The 20032-nt window shown below is 47.4% G+C and overlaps 1 protein-coding gene and 1 pseudogene across 12 annotated transcripts in view; both read right to left on the bottom strand.

Annotated features, from left to right (window-relative positions):
- DNAH2 (dynein axonemal heavy chain 2) overlaps positions 1 to 20032 on the bottom strand; it is a 115999-nt gene that overhangs the window by 77382 nt on the left and 18585 nt on the right. For 5 of the 11 annotated variants that reach the window (XM_047435424.1, XM_011523663.2, XM_047435425.1 and 2 more), the window contains 7 exons: positions 19103 to 19294; positions 18241 to 18398; positions 17347 to 17434; positions 16423 to 16628; positions 15812 to 15941; positions 15369 to 15551; positions 13219 to 13433 (listed from right to left, as the gene is read on the bottom strand). In XM_047435424.1, the coding sequence (XP_047291380.1) occupies positions 13219 to 13433; positions 15369 to 15551; positions 15812 to 15941; positions 16423 to 16628; positions 17347 to 17434; positions 18241 to 18398; positions 19103 to 19294 (1172 nt within the window). Of the gene's footprint in view, positions 1 to 3268; positions 3586 to 12459; positions 13434 to 15227; positions 15313 to 15368; positions 15552 to 15811; positions 15942 to 16071; positions 16158 to 16422; positions 16629 to 17346; positions 17435 to 18240; positions 18399 to 19102; positions 19295 to 20032 lie in introns of those variants that run through there. The other 6 variants (NM_020877.5, XM_011523667.3, NM_001303270.2 and 3 more) reach the window with 5 other exon arrangements.
- Positions 1385 to 2041, bottom strand: RPL29P2 (ribosomal protein L29 pseudogene 2; annotated as a pseudogene). Its single transcript, NR_002778.1, has one exon. The product of NR_002778.1 is annotated as a ribosomal protein L29 pseudogene 2 (transcript).

Genomic DNA, 20032 nt, shown 5'->3' with positions numbered 1-20032 from the left:
GAGGTTGCAGTGAGCCAAGATCGCACCACTGCCCTCCAGCCTGGGTGACAGAGCTAGATTCTGTCTCAAAATAAATAAATTAATTAGTTAATTCACTTGTTTCTTTTTTTCAAATTTTTTTTAGATGGAGTCCCACTCTGTCACCCAGGCTGGAGTGCAGTGGCGCAATCTCAGCTCACTGCCACCTCTACGTCCTGGGTTCAAGCAATTATCCCACCTCAGCCTCCCGAGTAGCTGGGATTATAGGTGCCCACCACCACACCCAGCTAATTTTTGTATCTTTAGTAGAGGTGGGGTTTTGCCACGTTGGCCAGGCTGGTCTCAAACTCCTGACCTCAGGTGATCCACCCACCTCACCCAGCACCCAAAGTGCTGGGATTACAGGCATGAGCCACCACTCCTGGCCTTTTTTTCTTTATTAAATGAGATATCAGTCAGGAGGCTGAGGCAGGAGAATCGCTTGAACCTGGGAGGTGGAGGTTGCAGTTAGCCAAGATTGTGCCATTGCACTCCAGCCTAGGCAACAGAGACACTGTCTCAAAAAAAAAAAAAGAGATACCAGGCAATTTTAAATTGCATATGAAGCCTTCATCTTAAGTGTCCTTTGCCACCTCATATCCAGTGGCCTCCTCCTTCCTGTTCCAGCTGCCACTCCCATGCCACGCCCTGAAGCTTGCTGTTCACAACCGCTCCACGTCTGAGAAAACCCACTCAGACCTCCTGCTCCCGGGGCCCAGCTTCCTCCCCTGCATCCCAGCATTGGTCCTCAAGTTCTCCCAACCTGCTTATTTTTCAGACCACTGACCCCTGGTTTTTCTTCCTGTTAACCCCCTCCCTACTTCACTTCCTCCTCCACAGACCTTGGTATCCTTTATTTTAGCCACTCTCTCGCCAATCCTCACTCACTTTGTCTCATTCTTTAGTCTAAACCTCCTGACAAAACGCCAGTGCTGGCTAAATCCGACTGTCCTCCCCTCGAGCCCCTGTGGGAAAGGCTGGAGAAGGTCATTGTGGGAAAGGCTGGAGAAGGTCACATGACCACACAGCTTGGCACCACCGTGACTCAGCCTGTCCCACCTGGGTTCTCCAGGCTGCATCCCTGTTCCCTAACCTGCCCTCCCTCCTGTTCTCACAAGTCACTACCTGCAAATCCTTTCCACTCTTCTCAAACCTGGTCTTCCTGTTGCCCTGTTGCCCTCTCTGCAGAAAGCCTCACCTCCTATATCACAGAAATAAAAGGCCATCAGGTGAGAATTCCATCCACTTCCAGCTGTAAAACGTATGCACTTACCTGTTTCCACGCTACAATTTCTCCCATTTATGATAGGACAGTCCCTCCTCCCACCCAAGGCTAACCCTTCTTCCTGGGCTGCCTATTCTTTTTTTTTTTTTTTCTGCCTCAGGCTTATTTGTACCAATAGCGCAGGAGGACCCCAGCCCCATGCAGACGGCAGCCCGGGGTGGGTGGCACCTGTCCTTCTGTCCTCACGTTGGCAGACAGAGATATCTACTCTGAAGTCTTTGTAGGGCACTGGGCAGCTTTGGGAGCCTGAGCTGAAACTGAAGCTGGAGCTGCAGCCTGGGCCTTGGTTTGATCCTTGGCCTTGGCCTTGGGCCGGCACAGCCTGAGCCCCTTGGCCATGCGGGCACGAGCAAGCTTCCCAAGGTTGGGGTGGGCAATGTAGGCAAGTCGATCAAGTTTATGGCTGACACCCTTTGGGATCTTGGGCTTAACCTCCTTGGGCTTTACGAGGGCCTTGAGAGCCTCGGCACGTGGACTCATGGCCTTGGCATTGTTGGTGTGCATCTTCTTTAGGCCCTTCTTTTGTGCTTCTTGGCAAAGCGCATGTTCCTCAGGAACTTGGAGTCCACCCCCTTAAGAGATTTGTATCTTTGTGATCGCGGTTTCTTGATACCATTTCTGTGCCATTTTCGGGACTGGTGGTGTATGGTGTGGACTTGGCCATGTCTGCACCTTAAGCCACGGCTCCTGAAGCACCTAGAACCGGAAGCCTGGGCTGCCTATTCTAGTATAACTTCCTTTCCCTTTCAGATGCCCTCTTCCAGCTCTCCTATACCTTCAATCTACTAGTTCCTTCCCATCATTTAAGTTTGGCCAAGTTTCTACAATATTAAAAGGATAAAAAACAGCGCCCCTTCAACTCCTGTCCTTCTTCAGGTGCCATATCCTGTCCTCCCCTTCACGGCCTGCCTGCTTTAAAGAATGTCGTCCACAGATCCCCGTCACTCTTTTCTTCCCATTCCCTCCTCATCCCTGAGACCTGGCTCCCACTCCACCCATCAAATGCCCTCATCACACTCACCAAGCATCCCCTAGCACTCCACCCCATGGATGCTTCCCAGGCCTTATCCTCCTTGATCTGCCGGTAGGTTTTTCTGCTTGTTTGTTTTTGAGATGGAGTCTTGCTCCGTCGCCCAGGCTGGAGTGCAGTGGTGCGATCTCGGCTCACTGCAACCTCTGCCTCCCCGGTTTAAGTGATTCTCCTGCCTCAGCCTTCCGAGTAGCTGGGACTATAGGTGCGCACCACCATGCCCAGCTTATTTTTGTATTTTTAGTAGAGACAGGGTTTCGTCATGTTGGCCAGGCTGGTCTCGAACTCCTGACCTCAGGTGATCCGCCCACCTTGGCCTCCCAAAGGGCTGGGGTTACAGGCGTGAGCCACAGCACCCAGCAAGCCTGTAGGTTTTAACATGGTAGACTACACCCCACTTTCTTCAAACGCACTCTTTTCCCTAGCTTCTGGACCACGGTCCTCTTTTCTGCCCTTCCTTTCAGTAGGAGTATCCTCCTCTCTCCAGTGTCCCATGTAAATATCATTCAGCTAGGCGCTGGGGATACAGTAAAGAATCTGCTTTCCTTGCAGCTCCCTTCAATGCGGACTCCCCGAGGTTCTTCACATCCAGCCCACTCCCCCTTGGTCATCTCTTCCACTCCCATGGCTTCGGCTGCCTTCCGAAAGCTGATGATCCCCAAACCTGCACAGCTAACCTGAGCTCTGGGCTTCGTTGTGCAACTGTCTACTAGATAGCTCTGCCCTGCTTGCTCGTGCACAAGCACCTCAAACTCAATGTGTCTAGAAACAAGCACATCATCTTCTCTGCAAACTTGGCGCTCCTGCCTCAGGGAAGGGTACTATCCCACCGCCTACACCAGAACCATGCATCCTTCCTCGGCCTTACTTTCCGACATCCAACCTCCTTCTGTTTTTAATATGCTAAAGCAAAGTTCAGAAATTCAGACACCTACCTCCAAGGCAAGTGTGGCTCAAGTGTGATGATAAATGGCAACTGACGCTTGGCCTTAAAGTTGAGCTGAAGAGGACATGCTCCCGCGAAGAAAGCCATGCTCCACGCTCCAGGCAATTGTTGCCATCTGGAAATGTGGGCCCAGTGTGGATGCATTTTCTGATTTTTCAAGAGAGGCCAGAAATTGGTTTTTCATGTAAAATCTCCTGAATTTTAAGTGCTAACAACAATTCACCTGAAAAATAATTATTCAGTGGGCATGTGGGAGAGGCTCTAGGACTCCTGGCAATCCTTGACTTGGGCAGTAGTTTGCAAGGGTGTTTTATTTTGTTATTTTATAATGATTTGTTAGTTAAACTGAACATACAATTTTTTTTCTTTTTTGAGACGGAGTCTTGCTCTGTCACCCAGGCTGGAGTGCAGTGGCGCAATCTCAGCTCACTGCAAGCTCTGCCTCCCAGGTTCACGCCATTCTCCTGCCTCAGCCTCCTGAGTAGCTGGGACTACAGGCGCCCGCCACCACGCCCCGCTAATTTTTTGTATTTTTAGTAGAGACAGGGTTTCACCATGTTAGCCAGGATGGTCTCGATCTCCTGACCTCGTGATCCGCCCGCCTCGGCCTCCCAAAGTGCTGGGATTACAGGCGTGAGCCACCGCGCGCGGCCTGAACATACAAGTTTTACGTATATCTCTGTCTATGACAAGTTTCATAATAAAAATGTTTTTAAAGGAAAAAATGATTTTAAACATATTTGTAAAAGTTGCTAGGTACAAAATTAATTTATAAAAATCAAAGTTCTCAATACAAAAATTGTGACTAGGTAGATATTATCATCAAGAAAAAGAGACAATAACAATTAAAACAACAAAAATAAAATACCAAAAATTAATCAGAAATTGTGTGTGTGTGTGTGTGTGTGTGTGTGTGTGTGTAAAATGACTTAAGGGGAAAAGGCAGGACTTAAATAAATTGAAAGAAAAAACACTGTTGGCCAGGCCCGGTGGTTCACACCTGTAGTTTCAGCTACTTGGGGGGCTGAGGCGGAAGAGGATCAATAAGCCTGGGAGGTCCTAGCTGCAGTGAGCTGAGATCGTGTCACTGCACTCCAGCCTGCATGACAGAACAAGACTCAGTCTCAAAACACGCACACACACACACACACACACACACACCCCACAACTATTCTTGGAAAGACTCAAAATCATAAAGATATTCTTCTAAAGTTAACCTATAAATTTAACCAAATCTCTATTCCTATAAAAATAGGAATGAGACTATTTTTGGAACTAAACAAATTGATTCTAAAATTCTTATGGGAAATAAATATTAAATATAGCCTGGAAAACTCTGAAGAAAGAAGAGTAATGAGGACAATAATTAAAACAGTTTGGTTCCTGCACATGAATAGACAGATACCAGAATAGAGAATCCCAAAATAGACACGAATATACTCGGGAATGTGTTACTATAAAGATAGTAGTTCACTAAATGAGATTGGGTCAACTCTAAATGAGATGGCTCTAGCCATCAGGAAAAAACAAACAAACAATGAAATACAAAACTCAATTTGAATCTGCACCTCTTTCTCTACACCAAAATAAATTTCAAATGGATCAAACATCTAAATGTAGAGAATAAAATCATAAAATACCAGAAGAAAATATGGAATATTTTTTAAAATAAAATTAAAAAAAAATCTTGGCCTGGTGTGGTGGCTCATGCCTGTAAGTTCAGCATTTTAGAAGGCCAAGGTGGGTGGATCATTTCAGGTCAGGAGTTTGAGACCAGCCTGGCCAACATGGTGAAACCCCATCCCTACTAAAAATCCAAAAATTAGCCAGAAATCGCTTGAACCCAGGACGCAGAGGTTGCAGTCAGCCAAGATGGTGCCACTGTACTCCAGACTGGACAACAGGGCAAGACTCCCCCTCAAAAAAAAAATGAATAAATAAATAAATAAATAAATAAATAAATAACTTGATTTTTTTTAATCTGCAGGGCTTTTAAAATAAAATTGCACTTTTTAATCACAAAGGATAAACATTCCCACGACCTGAAGATATGCTCAAGAAACTTTGCATTCTAAATACTGCTGAAATGTTATTTGGAAAGAATATTGAGGTGAAAATTCTAGAATTTTTTTAGTCTTTTCTACACTGAATTAACAATATTGGAGATAATAACACATTTCAAACTTTGCAAAGGATTGTGTTTTTACCGTCTTTATTGGAGAAGAATCCTCCAAGAATGAAATGATTTTCAAGTGCTCACTTATTTGTGATACAGGCTTTAAGAGATTGTGGAAGAAGAAATGCTGTTTTTTCAAACCCTGAAGATCTCCACTAACGTATGTGGTATTTTTAAAACTGCTAAAATATCTTCAAAGTGAGTAAGCCTCTTGAAAGTATAAATGAGCAATGAATCACCAGGCATTTAAGGAAAGCCTCCAAAGTAAAAGAGAGAGGCCAAAGCCAAAGACAATTACTATAAATCGGCTAGAATTCCAAACCCAGCCAAATGTACAACAAGCAGAGGGCAGGAAAACAGTTGTCAATCATGCAAAAACTCAAAAGATTTACCTCCCCTGCACCATTTCTTAGGAAGCTACTAATGGATACACACCAACAAAACAAAGGCGTAAACCAAAAAAGAGGAAGACAAAGGAAACATGAAATCAAACAAGGAAAGAGGCTGAGGGAAGTCCCGGGGTAACTGCTTTGTAACAGGCCTTGAAAACAACACCAGCTGGACAGAAGCAGGAGGACAGGAAAAAAACAGATCTAAGAAAAACATTGAAACCAATACCCAGTATGTCAGATTGTGAGGAAAAATACTACTCAAAGGGATTTTATTGGTTGGTTTGGAGGACTTAGTGATAGTGAATGCTGCGCTAGCAAAAATAATGAGGTGGCCAGGCACAATGGCTCACACCTGTAATCCCAGCACTTTGGGAGGCTGAGGTGTGTGGATCACCTGAGGTAGGAGAATCGCTTGAACCTGGGAAGCAGAGCAGAGATCCTGGGCAACAGAGCGAAATTCCATCTCAAATAATAATAATAGTAATAACGATAATAATGAGGTAATTTTTCTTTTTTTGAGACAGAGTCTCGCTCTGTCGCCCAGGCTGCAGTGCAATGGCGTGATCTCAGCTCACTGCAACCTCTGCCTCCCGGGTTCAAGCGAGATTCTCCTGCCTCAGCCTCCTGAGTAGCTAGGATTACAGCCACCCGCCACCATGCCCAGCTATTTTTTGTATTTTTAGTATAGACGGGGTTTCACCATGTTGGCCAGGCTGGTCTCGAACTCCTGACCTCGTGATCCACCCACCTCAGCCTCCTGAAGTGCTGGGATTAGAGGCATGAGCCACCACACCTGGCCTAATAATGAGGCAATTTTAAATTCCAAATTGAGCAAAACATTGTACAAGCAAAAGAACTATAACAATGTAAAATTACTCAACTCAGCAGTGAACAATCCTAATAGAGTCATAATAAGATAAGCCCTAAACATCAATGTAACAAAAAGTTGTGTTATAATGATATGGGGAGATTGGAAGTGTGTGAATAGATACAGAAACATTTCTAGTAGCATAAACGTATTATCATGTCCTTCAAACTGGATGTCTTGGATTTGTCACTGTTGATAAACATCTGAGCAAGCCTACTTGGGCATGTATGCTGGCCAACATTGCACCAAAACAAATTCTTCATTCTCTCATCTTGGCAAGATTTTCTTTTTTCTTTCTTTTTTTTTTTTTTTTTTTTTTTTTTTTTTTTTTTTTTTTGGGGGGGAGTTTAGCTCTTGTTGCCCAGGCTGGAGTGCAATGGCGCAATCTCGGCTCACCACAACCTCTGCCTCCCAGGTTCAAGCAATTCTCTTGCCTCGGCCTCCTGAGTAGCTGGGATTACAGACGCTTGCCACCATGCCCGGCTAATTTTGTATTTTTAGTAGAGACAGGGTATCTCCATGTTGGTCAGGCTGGTCTCGAACTCCTGACCTCAGGTGATCCACCCACCTCGGCCTCCCAAAGTGCTGGGATTACAGATGCGAGCCACCGCATCCGGCCAAGGCAAGATTTTCAAGATAACTTTAAGGCAAATTATCCAAGTTTAATATGTCAGTCAACAGGATGAATTCAGACAATACCTTCCTGATGCTGAGCTGAAAATCCTGGGAGAAACTTTGAATGATGTTCAGTCTTTAACTGAAGTTTGTCAAGAAATTTCCAGAATGCAAATTTTATTTCATTGACAAATATCAGTTTTTCTTTAAAAAAAAAAAAAAATCTGTGTGGCGAGGCTGGGCAAGGTAGCTTAGGCCTGTAATCCCAACGCTTTGGGAGGCTGAGGTGGGTGGATGGCTTGAACTCAGGAGTTCGAGACCAGCCTGGGCAACATGGTGAAAACCCATCTCTACCAAAAATAGAAAAAATTAGCTGGGCATGGTGGCAGGCACCTGTGTTCCCAGTACTCAGGAAGCTGAGGTGGGAGGGTTGCTTGAGCCCGGGAGGCGGAGGCTACAGTGAGCCAAGATTGCACCAGTGCACTCCAGCCTGGGTAACACAGTGAGACCTTGTCTCAAAAAAATAAATAAATAAAAATCTGTCTGGGGGATGACTTTTTAAAAATACTTCATAATTTATCTCCAAACAAGTGGTCAGGCAGTAGAGGTAGAAAGGAAAGCCAGAGGAATTGAGTGGTTAGAGCCCAGAGCGGGCTGACCCGGGGGGAAAAGGCACTCTGTGACCGGGGAAAAAAGAGAGAGAAGCTCTGGGAACAAAAAACAGACCTCAGTATCTCGTCTCCTCCTCTCAGGAAATTCTACTCTGCTCCACACAGGGTGATAATACAGCTCCTTCAGCCAGGGTGTGGATGACATCTGGAATATGTTTGTGTTAAGTGCAATCTGTGAAGCTGTTCTGTCCGTAAAACGTGATAAAAGCCAATTTGGACTTCAGAGTTCAAATATTTGGGATATAGGTGGGATACCAAAACCCCTTGTGGGATTAAATCAGTGCTATTAGGGACTGGAAGGCTCCAGGACTAAGAGAGCCAGGTAATTCCGAGGAACATCAGAACATTTGGACAGTCTGCTTATTTCAAGATCTTAACTGGAGCTTGAACACAAAGAGCAAATCTGATAAAGTTATCTTCACTTCCTTGAAGTGTTAATAAGTTTTGGAAGCTGTAACTGACTTGGATTTCTTTACTGGTGATGAGCCCAGACTTTCAAAATCCTTCACTGTGATCGTGTTCTTTCCCTTCCATTATTTACTGGATTGAGGCAGTTTTATCTTAAAACCACAAAAATGTAAAGTATCCTATAACATCTCTCTGGAAAACAATCCCCAAAGGACAGAAACAGGCACCTCTTCTATCTGGAAGACGTGTTTCGCCATTATTTGGATTTCAGATAAACCCAAGCCATAAATATTTGGCCCAAAGTTGCCTTGATAAGCTCTACTATCAAGATTATGCAGAAGGTATTCCAGACAAGAGATGATAATAGCAGACAGAGAAGTTGTCTCCTGGTTTATCCTAACTAGAGGGACACTGTGTTCAAATTTCAGTAAACACAGTGCTGCAGAGGGAAGGGAACAAAGTGCGGGAATCACAGTTGAAATCCACCAGCACGGAATAGTCAAGAACCTTACAGAAACTGTACAATTTATAAGTCCATCAATAGTAGACTGGTTCATTAAATTACAGTACAGCCATACTATGATTTCATACTGCAAGCCAGGAAAAAGAATTAAGTAATTCTATACATACAGAATGAAAGATCCCCCACACAGATTGTTAACCTTAAAAAAAAAGCAAGGTGTGACGGGGTGCAGTGGCTCCCAGCACTTTGGGAGGCCAAGGTGGGAGGATCACTTGAGGCCAGAAGTTCCAGACCAGTCTGGGCAACATAGCAAGACCCTGTCTCCACATTCAAAAAAAAAGGCAAGTTGCAAAAATGCCATTCATGATGTGATTCTATTTCATATATGCAGGATATATTTTTGATTACATGATAATCATGGTTACCTCTAGGGATTGGGGATATGTGCTGAATTTTCACTTTTTCCCTTACAAGCTTCTTTTTTTTTTTTTTTTTAATTTTGAGATAAAGTTTCACTCTTGTTGCCCAGGCTGGAGTGCAATGGCGCATTCTCGGCTCACTGCAACCTCCGCCTCCCGAGTTCAAGTGATTCTCCTGCCTCAGCCTCCCAAGTAGCTGGGATTACAGGCGCACGCCACCATGCCTGGCTAATTTTTGTATTTTTAGTAGAGACGGGGTTTCACCATGTTGGCCAGGCTGGTCTTGAACTCCTGACCTCAGGTGATCTGCCCACCTTGGCCTCCCAAAGTGCTAGGATTACAGGCATGAGCCACCATGCCAGCCATTTCTTTACATACTTCTGCATTAATCTTTTGTTTTTCTTAACAGTGAGCATGTAGTGTTTTTGTCATTTTAAAATACCCAGTAAAGATTTAAAAGATTAAAGGAAAACAACCAAATGAAATGGAGGGTGGGGAGGAAGTGATAAAAATATACCAAATCATTAAAAGTGGTTATTCTTAGGAGTATTTTTTTCTTCATTCTACTTTTCTGCATTTTGCAAATGTTCTAAAATGATCAATAATTTTATAATGGAAAAATTAATCATTTTGAAAGCACTTGGAATATATAGAACAATATGTATAGTACACTACTATTTATGCAAAAAAGGATACTTAAGTAGACATATATGTCTATTCCTGGAATATTATACAAGAATCTGAAACACTGACTGTCTTCAGAGTGAAACTGGGTCCCCTAGGGGACAGCAGAGGAGCAGGCTTTTCATTCTCTATCCTTTTGTAGAATGACTTTTGAATTTTACACTGTATGCCTATATTAGCCCTTTGTAAAGGTTAAAATGTTTTAAAAACTAAAACTGTTACATCACTCTGCTACATTTGTTTTGAAAATACTATCTTCATCAAGTTTTATGAGGCAATTGTTTTGAAGGGGGCAAGAATGCTTCTTGGTTGTTCATTCTTTGTGAGGACCTTTGCGTGAGTCATCAGCTGCCCGATAATGCCAGGAAAGGGTTTTTTAAGTAGATGAGGAAACTCAGGCTCAGAGAAATTCAATGGCCCGCCTGAGGTCACGTGGCAAAATGCTCCAGGGTTTGAACTTGAGACTGTTTAGCACTGAAGTTGATGCTGTATCTACTCTCGCTGGCTGACCCCTGGCGAGTAGAAGGAGGTAGCCACCAACCAGTGCTCACATATGGCATTTCTTTTTTCTTTTCTTTTTTTTTTTTTTTTTGTTTGAGACAGGGTCTGGCTTTGTCGCCCAGGCTAGAGTGCAGTGGCACGATCACAGCTCATTGCAGCCTCAATATCCTGGGCTCAAGCAATCCTTCCACCTCAGCCTCCTGAGTAGCTGGGACTACAGGCATGCACCACTATGCCCGGCTAATTTTTGTTTATGCCCCCACTGATCTTGGACTCCTGGGCTCAAGCGATCCTCCCGCCTTGGCCTTCCAAAGTGTTGGGATTCTAGGCATGAGCCACTGCGCCAGCCACATATGGCATTTTTTTTAAATTTAACTTTTATTTCAAGTTCAGGGGTACATGTGCAGGTTTGTTATATAGGTAAAATTGTGTCATGAGAGTGTTGTACAGATGATTTTGTCACCCAGGTATTAAGCCTAGTACCTATTAGTTAGTTTTCCTGATCCTCTCCTACCTCCTACACACACACAGCATTTCTTTACCTCTTGTCTCAACTTTTGTTTTCTCTCATATTTGAAATGTAAATACTTGGCCAGACACAGTGGCTCATGCCTGTAATCCCAGCACTTTGGGAGGCCGAGGTGGCCAGATCACCTGAGGTCAGGATTTTAAGACCAGCTTGGCCAACATGGCAAAACACCATCTCTAATAAAAACACAAAAATTAGCCGGGCGTGGTGGCGGGCGCCTGTAATCCCAGATACTCGGGAGGCTGAGGCAGGAGAATTGCTTGAACTCAGGAGGCGGAGGTTGCAGTGAGCCAAGATTGCGCCACTGCACTCCAACCTGGGCGACAGAGTGAGACTCTGTCTCAAGAAAAAAAAAAAAAGAAATGTAAAGATTGATCATTAGTGTTTAAGGAAATCCTGTTATTTGAATACAATCCCTTATTTCACAGAAAAAGGACAGCTGGTGAACTGTGTGCCCTCATATCCATAAACACCAAGGGCATCTGTGCGGCTCCCCTGACACAATAACTTTGGGGGTACCCAGCTCGATGGGAGAATGTGTCTTGCAGGTTCAACCCCATTATGCGCTTGCAAATGGCGTAACTAGGCTAACTCTGGCCTAGTTTCTCAGTCTTCAGAATCTTATCGTTGATTTATGAGGCAATGTTTACGTGGCTGTGCTTGGCCATAACTCACAAAACCAGGAAGCTCAGCAAAGCCAATCTCCAACAACTCTCACTACTCGAAGCCTTTTCTCAAACCTCTCGACCTAGCCATGTGCACACTCTGCTCCTCAACGGCTTCCTCATCCCTGCAGCTCCCAACATCCCTGTCCTCCTCACTGATGCCTCTGCCTCACCCCTCTCACCTGACACTCCGCTCTGCTTCTCCATCCTGGTTCTTTTGCTTCCTTTCTCAGCCAGAATGTGCCCTCTTCCCCTGGTTGGGCCACCTTTTGCTGCCCAGGACAAACACTCACAGTCTCATCTGTCCCTGGGACTCCGTCTCCACACAGCACTTCTCTGGCAAAGCCCCTCCTACATTTGGCCCCACAAGCATTTTTTTTTTTTTTTTTTTTTTTTTGAGACGGAGACTCACTCTGTCGCCCAGGCTGGAGTGCAATGGCGTGATCTCGGCTCACTGCAACCTCCGCCTCCCGGGTTCAAGCGATTTTCCTGCCTCAGCCTCCCAAGTAGCTAGGATTATAGGCACCTGCCACAATGCCCAGCTAATTTTTGTATTTTTAGTAGAGACAGGGTTTCGCCATGCTGGCCAGGCTCAAGCATGGACATTTTATGAGTGGAATCCAACACTAGTAGCCACAGCCTCAAAGCATCTTATGTGGACAGGAAGCCCCACTCCAAGAGTAGAGCTGTTGACTTAGAAAGCAGCAGCCTAACCTCCCTGAGGGCAGGGACTTGGCCGTTGTGTACATTCCCTGCCTGTTCCTATTTCAGTTCCTGACACATGGAAGGTGCTCACTATATATTTTTAATAAATTAGTTAATTGATTAATTACATTTTAAATAATTATAGTATGACAGTTTCATAACAATGAAGCTGTAGAAGAAGGCATGGTCTGACAGCCCCACCAACAGTCAGGAAAGGGACAGGGTTTGGGTGACTTAGCTGAGCCATTATGGCCATCTAGTGGCAGAACAGCGACATCACTGGTTTAGTCAGATAGTGGAGTGGTTTTTGATTTTTGTTTTTGAGGCAGGGTCACTCTGTCGCCCAGGCTGGAGTGTAGTGGTGTGATCTCAGCTCACTGCAGCCTCTGCCTCCCGGGCTCAGGCGATCCTCCCACCTCACCCTCCCAAGTAGCTGAGACTACAGGCTTGTGCCACCACGCCCAGCTAATCTTTGTATTTTTTGCAGAGACTGGGTTTTGCCATGTTGCCCAGGCTGTTCTCAAACTCCTGGGCTCAAGCGATGCGCCCACCTCAGCCTCCCAAAGTGCTGGGATTACAGGTGTGAGCCACCGTGCCTGGCCGATCATTGTTTTGTTTTGTTGTGTTTTAAGATAAGTTGTAAAATTAAAATGTTGATAGCAGGGTGGGAGGTGGGGAGAGACAAAAATAAAAGAAGAAAAAAAAAAGTAAAATGACGATAGCAAACATATTGTATGAGAAAGAGAGAGAATAATGAAGAGAGGAGTCAAAAGATGGGAGTGAAATTCTTGGGAGAGCTGCAGAAGGGGAGTATAGGGAAAAGGGGCCAGGTGGCTCCTGTACTTGTCAAAGTTGACATCCAGCATGCCCGCCTTCTCCTGGCTGATTCGCAGCAATGGGGTATCCAACCGCCGAATGCAATCCTTGTCCAGACTTGATGTCCACTCTTGGAAGGTTTTTCGAACCAGCTCATCAATGGCCTGGACCATCTGCTGATAGGTGTGCACACTCTCCTTTCCAGTCCCAATACGGGGCAGGAAATGAGCACCAGCAAGGCACTGAGGGGAAGAAGAACAGGTGGGTGGAGTCGGCCTGCCACCTTCCTCCAGGGGCCACCATCTCCCTGAGACCTACACATGCGCGCATGCGCACATACCCCAACAATATGCATAAGGCTTGCTATGGAGATGGATTGAGTTTTGATAACTTAGAAGGAAGGTAGAGTCAAAAAGGAAGGTGATAGGAAGAGACCAAGGCGCAATGAGAAAAGGAGTCAAAATGAGGAAAGAGAAGCACAGAGAATTTGTTTAGGAAAAAAAGCTGGGAGAAAAAGGTCAGTCACAGAAGGAGCAGGATATGAGGCACAAGGTTGAAAACCAGTATCAGCCCTTCCTAGCCTGGGCGTAGTCCACCAGGCCCAAACCAGCCTCCAGCTATCTGCAGGCTGCCTAACTCTCTACCAGCACCAGCTGCATGATGGCAGGTCACTACCTCAACAGCTTTCAACCTTTATTCCCAAAGGGTGTGTGTGTTCATTTGTTTGTTTTGTTTGTTTGTGACAGAGTCTCTCTCCACCACCCAGGCTGGAGTACAGTGGCGCGATCTCGGCTCACTGCAACTTCTGCCTCCAGGGTTCAAGCAATTGTCCTGCCTTAGCCTCCCAAATAGCTGGGATTACAGGTGCCCGCCACCACACCTGGCTAACTTTTTGTATTTTTAGTAGAGACAGGGTCTCACCATGTTGGCCAAACTGGTCATGAACTCCTAACTTCAAATGATCCACCCACCTTGGCCTCCCAAAGTGCTGGGATTACAGGTGTGAGCCACCGCACCTGGCCCCAGAAAGTTTTAAAACAATGTTTTTCTGTTGTTTCTTTGTGCTGTCTTTCCAGAGAGACCAGGCTCTGTAAGGGTGTCACCTGTCCAGGTCTCTGGATCATGAGGCTGTATCTTCTACTGACCCAACACCCCAGATACCGGCCCTATTCCTCCTCTGCAGCCTGATATGAAATTCCTAAAATGAGGCCGGGCGCAGTGGCTCATGCCTGTAATCCCAGCAATTTGGGAGGCCAAGGTGGGTGGATCACCTGAGGTCGGGAGTTCGAGACCAGCCTGACCAACATGGAGAAACCTCTTCTCTACTAAAAATACAAAATTAGCCGGGCGTGGTGGTGCATGCCTGTAATCCCAGCTCCTGAGAGGCTAAGGCAGGAGAATCGCTTGGACCTGGGAGGCGAAGGTTGCGGTGAGCCGAGATCACACCACTGCACTCCAGCCTGGGCAACAAGAGCAAAACTCCATCTCAGAAAAAAAGAAAAAAGAAAAAGAAGCCGGGCGCGGTGGCTCACGCCTGTAATCCCAGCACTTTGGGAGGCCCAGGTGGGTGGATCATGAGGTCAGGAGACTCAGACCATCCTGGCTAACACGGTGAAACCCCATCTCTACTAAAAATACAAAAAAATTAGCTGGGTGCGGTGGCGGGCACCTGTAGTCCCAGCTACTCGGGAGGCTGAGGCAGGAGAATGGTGTGAACCCGGGAGGCAGAGCTTGCAGTGAGCTGAGATCGAGCCATTGCACTCCAGCCTGGGCGACAGTGTGAGACTCCGTCTCAAAAAAACAAAAAGAAAGGAAGGAAGGAAGGAAGGAAGGAAGGAAGGAAGGAGGGAGGGAGGGAGGGAGGGAAGGAAGGAAGAAAGAAAGAAAGAAAGAAAGAAAGAAAGAAAGAAAGAAAGAAAGAAAGAAAGAAAGAGAGAGAGAAAAAAAAGAAAGGAAGGAAGAAAAGAAATTCCTAAAATGGCGCATGTTCTACCAGCCTCACACACCACCTCTGCAGATCTTAACCCACGACTGACCTCACTGAACTGGACCTGCCACTCCCCTCACCGACATAGGTGCTGGTCCTGAAGACTCTTTGGGGAACCTCTCAGGAGCCATCCCCCATCCCTCCTGGCGGTCTCACTGACGACAGAATATGGAGAAGGCCAGGCACTTACGGTCATGACTCTGTCGATGCGACGCCGGAGGATGTGCACCCAGCGCGCCTTTCCGGAATACTGGGCCACGTAGGGCTCCAGGTCTGGCCATTTCTTGTTCCGTTCACGGTTCACCAGGGCCAGCTCGCTATTGAACAGCATGTAGAGATCCACCGCCTTCTTGTCATAAGTCCGCTTGATAGCCTAGGGAAGAAGAGGAAGAGGCTGGCGACGTGCCCGGGAAGGCGGGTTCCCTCCGGTCACTCATCCCAGAGGAAAGCTGCACCCCGCTGCGGGAGTCACACTCCCGGGGACGCCGAAGCCAGGGAACAGAAGAAAGACAAGAGGCGCCCGAATGCTGGACATGGAGAAGGGCACACGTGGAGGCAGGAGGGCCTCCGGAAGGAGGGACTCCAGGAAAGCACGCGGGACGGGAAGCCGAGGAAGCCGCGGGGCAGCCGCACCTCGCGGGAGGCAAGCCTGTGGAAGGTGTCCAGCAGAAGCACGCCGTGCGGCACGTCCCGCACCAACTCGAAGGCTGAGGTGATCAGGTTCTGGGTCATCACCTCCAGGTCCTTGATTCCGGCACGGAACCTGCACCGGTGGAGAGGCATGTGGCAGCTGAGTGCCCTCGCCTGCCCCCAACTCCAACCCCTGAGGAAGAATCCCATGCATTGCTGAGGACAGAGGGCTTCCTGTGTGCCAGGCACTCCAAGTACTTTACCTACATGAATCCATTTAATCCTCAAAACAATGCTGTGAGATGGGCTCTATCTCTAACCGTATTGCATAGAGGAGGAAGTGGAGACAGCTGGTGGAGTAATTTGCCCAATGTCATATATCTGGTATGTGGCAGAACCAAGATCCAAGTCCGGAAAGGCTCACTCTGGAACCCTCAACCCAAGCTGCCACCCCCCTCCCCTGCACTCTCTCCTGTCCCCCCCCCCGGGCCACCGCCCTGATCCCGATCTGTCCTTCCACCATTTCCTTTGCATACTCTCGCCACTCCTCCCACTCTTGGCTGCCTGATCTGCCTTCCCTGCCCACGCCTGGCATCAGCCTGTGGTTCCCTCACTTATTGTAGTCTTCATGCCAACAGGTGTTCTTGACATCCAGGATACCCCCGCGAACGGCTCGCAGCGTGTGCAGATTTTTATGAAAGATGTCCTCAATCTCCAGCAAGTTCCGTGTTATCTGTGGCCCCTGGGCACCAAAGAAGCAAGGAAGGGGACCCTGCTTGCCATCTTCCCAGCGGGCGAAGTGATACTGACAGTCACATACCTAAAAAAGAAGACAGCATGAGGGTTCCTGCTTTCCTTCCAAACTCCAAAGTCCTAAGCTATTTGGTTTAGCTTCAAATGTCTAAAAACATCACTGTGAGTGATGGCAAGTGAAAAAAAAAAAAAGAAGAAGAAAATATCTAAAAACCAGGGAGGGCCAACCAGCTGCAGGGGGCTGCTGGGATGAACTTTGGCCACAGAATGAAATATGAAATAGTAGGGCAGCGATAAGAGGCAAATGCCAGAAAAAGCGGTGTGGTAGTAGGACACACAATTGTGCAGGAAAAGCCAATGTGGTAAGTGCAATTTTCTTTTCTTTTATTTTTTTGAGACAGAGTCTCTCTCTGTTGCCCAGGCTGGAGTGCAGTGGCATGATCTCGGCTCACTGCAACCTCCGCTTCCCGGGTTCAAGAGATTCTCCTGCCTCAGCCTCCCAAGCAGCTAGGATTACAGGTATGCACCACCAGGCCCGGCTAATTTTTGTATTTTTAGTAGAGACGGGGTTTCACCATGTTGGCCAGGCTGGTCTCGAACTGCTGATCGCAGGTGATCTGCCCGCCTCAGCCTCCCAAAGTGCTGGGATTACAGGCGTGAGCCACCGCGCCTGGCCATAAGTTCAATATTTAGCCTCTGCCCCGTTTGCCCTGGTTCCTGGGGTGGGAGGTGGGGAGGGATTCTGGAGGGTCTGCTGTTAGCTTTTGGTTCTTCAGTCTTCCCACCTCAATAAGGTCCTTGCAGCGCTGCACAAAGGCATCAACCTGAGCAAAGATGCTGGTCTGATCTAGGACCCAGCCCCGACTGGAGAACCTGTGTCAGGAGAAAGGCCGACTGAATTGGAAGGCAAGAGCAGTCTGGCTATGCAAACCTAGACCAGGAGCCCTGCATTCAGGGAAAGCCCTAGAAAAATCAGACCCCGAGAAACAACCCTCCTGAATCCCAAAGGACAAGACTCAAGGTGAGAAGAACCAGACAGGAGACAGAGCATCTAAGTTCTAGGAGCAGATTCATACATAATAGAATTTTAGACGATGGGGTCAAGATAGGAGGAAAAGACCAGGTAGGGTTCCTGGGATCAGGGAGGAGAGATTATTAAAATAAGAAGCCAGGCAGGGCGTGGTGGCTCACGCCTGTAATCCCAGCACTTTGAGAGGCCAAGGCGAGCAGATCACAAGGTCAGGAGATCGAGACCACCCTGGCTAACACGGTGAAACCCTGTCTCTACTAAAAATACAAAAAATTAGCCTGGCATGGTGGCGGGCACCTGTAGTCCCAGCTACTGGGGAGGCTGAGGCAGGAGAATGGCATGAACCTCGGAGGCTGAGCTTGCAGTGAGCTGAGATCGCGCCACTGCACTCCAGCCTGGGTGGCAGACCAAGACTCTGTCTCAAAAAAAAATTAAAATTAAAATTAAAAAACAAAAAAGGAGAAGCCAGGGCAATGAGATACAGTATCTGTATCCAGACAGAAAATTTGGCCAGATGTAGAAACTCCTGGGTCTCGGAAAATACAACCAAGAGGCTAAACAAAGTGTACAGGAAAGAAGTCAGAATCTACCCTCTTACAGGGCTGACAAGGGAGTTGAGACATGGGATGTTAGGGGAGGCGTATCATACTGGATGTGCATCTGCACAGCCTGTACGTAGTGATCTTTCCAAGCGTGACAACAGAGAATGCAGCCTTGCAGGTCCTCCTTGCTGGAAGAGACATATCCCTCAAAGATCCGGTCCAGGGAGATGGCGTGGCAGCATAAGCGGATGATCTCATTGCTCATCTGCAGAAGGAGTCCCCACAGCCTCTGTCCCCACCTCCTTGACACCCAACTCCTTCTCTGCATCCCCCTGCCCGTGCTTCATGTCTCAGCCCCCTACTCCTTAATTTGACTCCTGAAACTCATCCCACCCCTGGTTCTCCACCCCTGGCCAGGCCGACACCTCTGGGTTCCATGCCCACTCCTTGTCCTAGGTGGCCCCTTACTCTGCCTCAGCCCAGCTCTGCAGCCACCCTGCCCAGCAAGGTCTCAGCTCAGTGTCCCTTCTCCCACTCTTTGGCTTTTTCACCCCCAGTGAATGCACCAGGCCCTGCTCCTCAAGAGCCGGTGCTCCTTCCTAAATCCCCTCTCCCCCACTGCAATCTCCATCTTGAGGAATGGGAAGAAGAGCTTTTCCTTCCACACAGCTCAGCTTGGGGGTCTGTTCTTCCTGCTGCTTCCCCGTCTTCCACCAACTCCTCTTCTGAAGCCCCTCTTCCTGCCTAAGCCACCTCCACCTAGAAACAGAAAGTCCAGCCCAGGCTCCAATGCTGAGCAACCCTAAAGCAGATCATGCCGGTAGAAGCCTTCTGAGCTCAGTCTCTGAGCAGAAGGGCAATCTTCACTACCTTTTCAACCACAGATCCTCTGCCGAATGCATTCCCCCTGCTTCAGAAAACCCGGCCACCCTCATAAACCCCTCCATCCCACCCTCAGCATATGCACACCTTTCGGAAGAGCGAGGTCAGTCTCTCCCGAGTGTTGTAGTGGGGAGAGTTGACCCAGATGATGCGGATGAGACTGATCAGCTTAGGGAGCTTGCTAGAGATGTCCTTGGGCTTCATGAAAGCCAACTCCTGGTAAGGTTCCTTCAGGATTGACAAAAAGGTCAGGTTTGACTGTGCTTGACGAGAGCCATCCTGGCAGTAAAGAGAGATGAGAAATAGATTTATGCACTAGAAAGCACTGATTCAACACAAGTGCTTTTATTTATTTATTTATTTTAGATGGAGTTTTACTCTTGTCACCCGGGCTGGAGTGCAATGGCGCGATCTCAGCTCACTGCAACCTCCGCCTGCCAGGTTCAAGCAATTCTCCTGCCTCAGCCTCCCAAGTAGCTGGGATTACAGGTGCCCACCACAACGCCCAGCTAATTTTTGTATTTTTAGTAGAGATGGGGTTTCACCATGTTGGCCAGACTGGTCTCGAACTCCTGACTTTGAGTAATCCACCTGCCTCAGCCTCCCAAAGTGCTGGGATTACAGGCGTGAGCCACCACGCCCAGCCCACAAGTGCTTTTTAACCATCTTCAACCCCATTCTGACTTGCCTCTAAGAGGAATCCCTCCCATCAGCCCTACACAGTAGCGATCATTTCAGGTCTCTGTGAGCCTTCGGACCAGAGTTAGCACATGTCAACTTTTCTTTTCTCATGTGTGTGCCCTAGCTCCCCTACCAGACTAAGAATTCCCTCGAGTCTAGATTTTTCTAGATTTTGTGTCTGTTTTCTCCAGTTGAATTCAGGACTCCGCACTAAGTGGATACTCTGTTGCTGTCGGATCAACTGGCCGCATATCACTCTCATTCGTCCCCATAGTTGTCACCCAGTTCCCTTTCACTGCCCTGTTCTCAGCCAGGGCTTTAGGCTCCTCCAGTTAG

This window comes from Homo sapiens, chromosome 17, assembly GCF_000001405.40.
Source record: "Homo sapiens chromosome 17, GRCh38.p14 Primary Assembly".
Lineage (NCBI taxonomy): Eukaryota > Metazoa > Chordata > Mammalia > Primates > Hominidae > Homo > Homo sapiens.
Note: the sequence above shows the minus strand (reverse complement) of the source record. Positions and strands in the feature narration are given on the sequence as shown.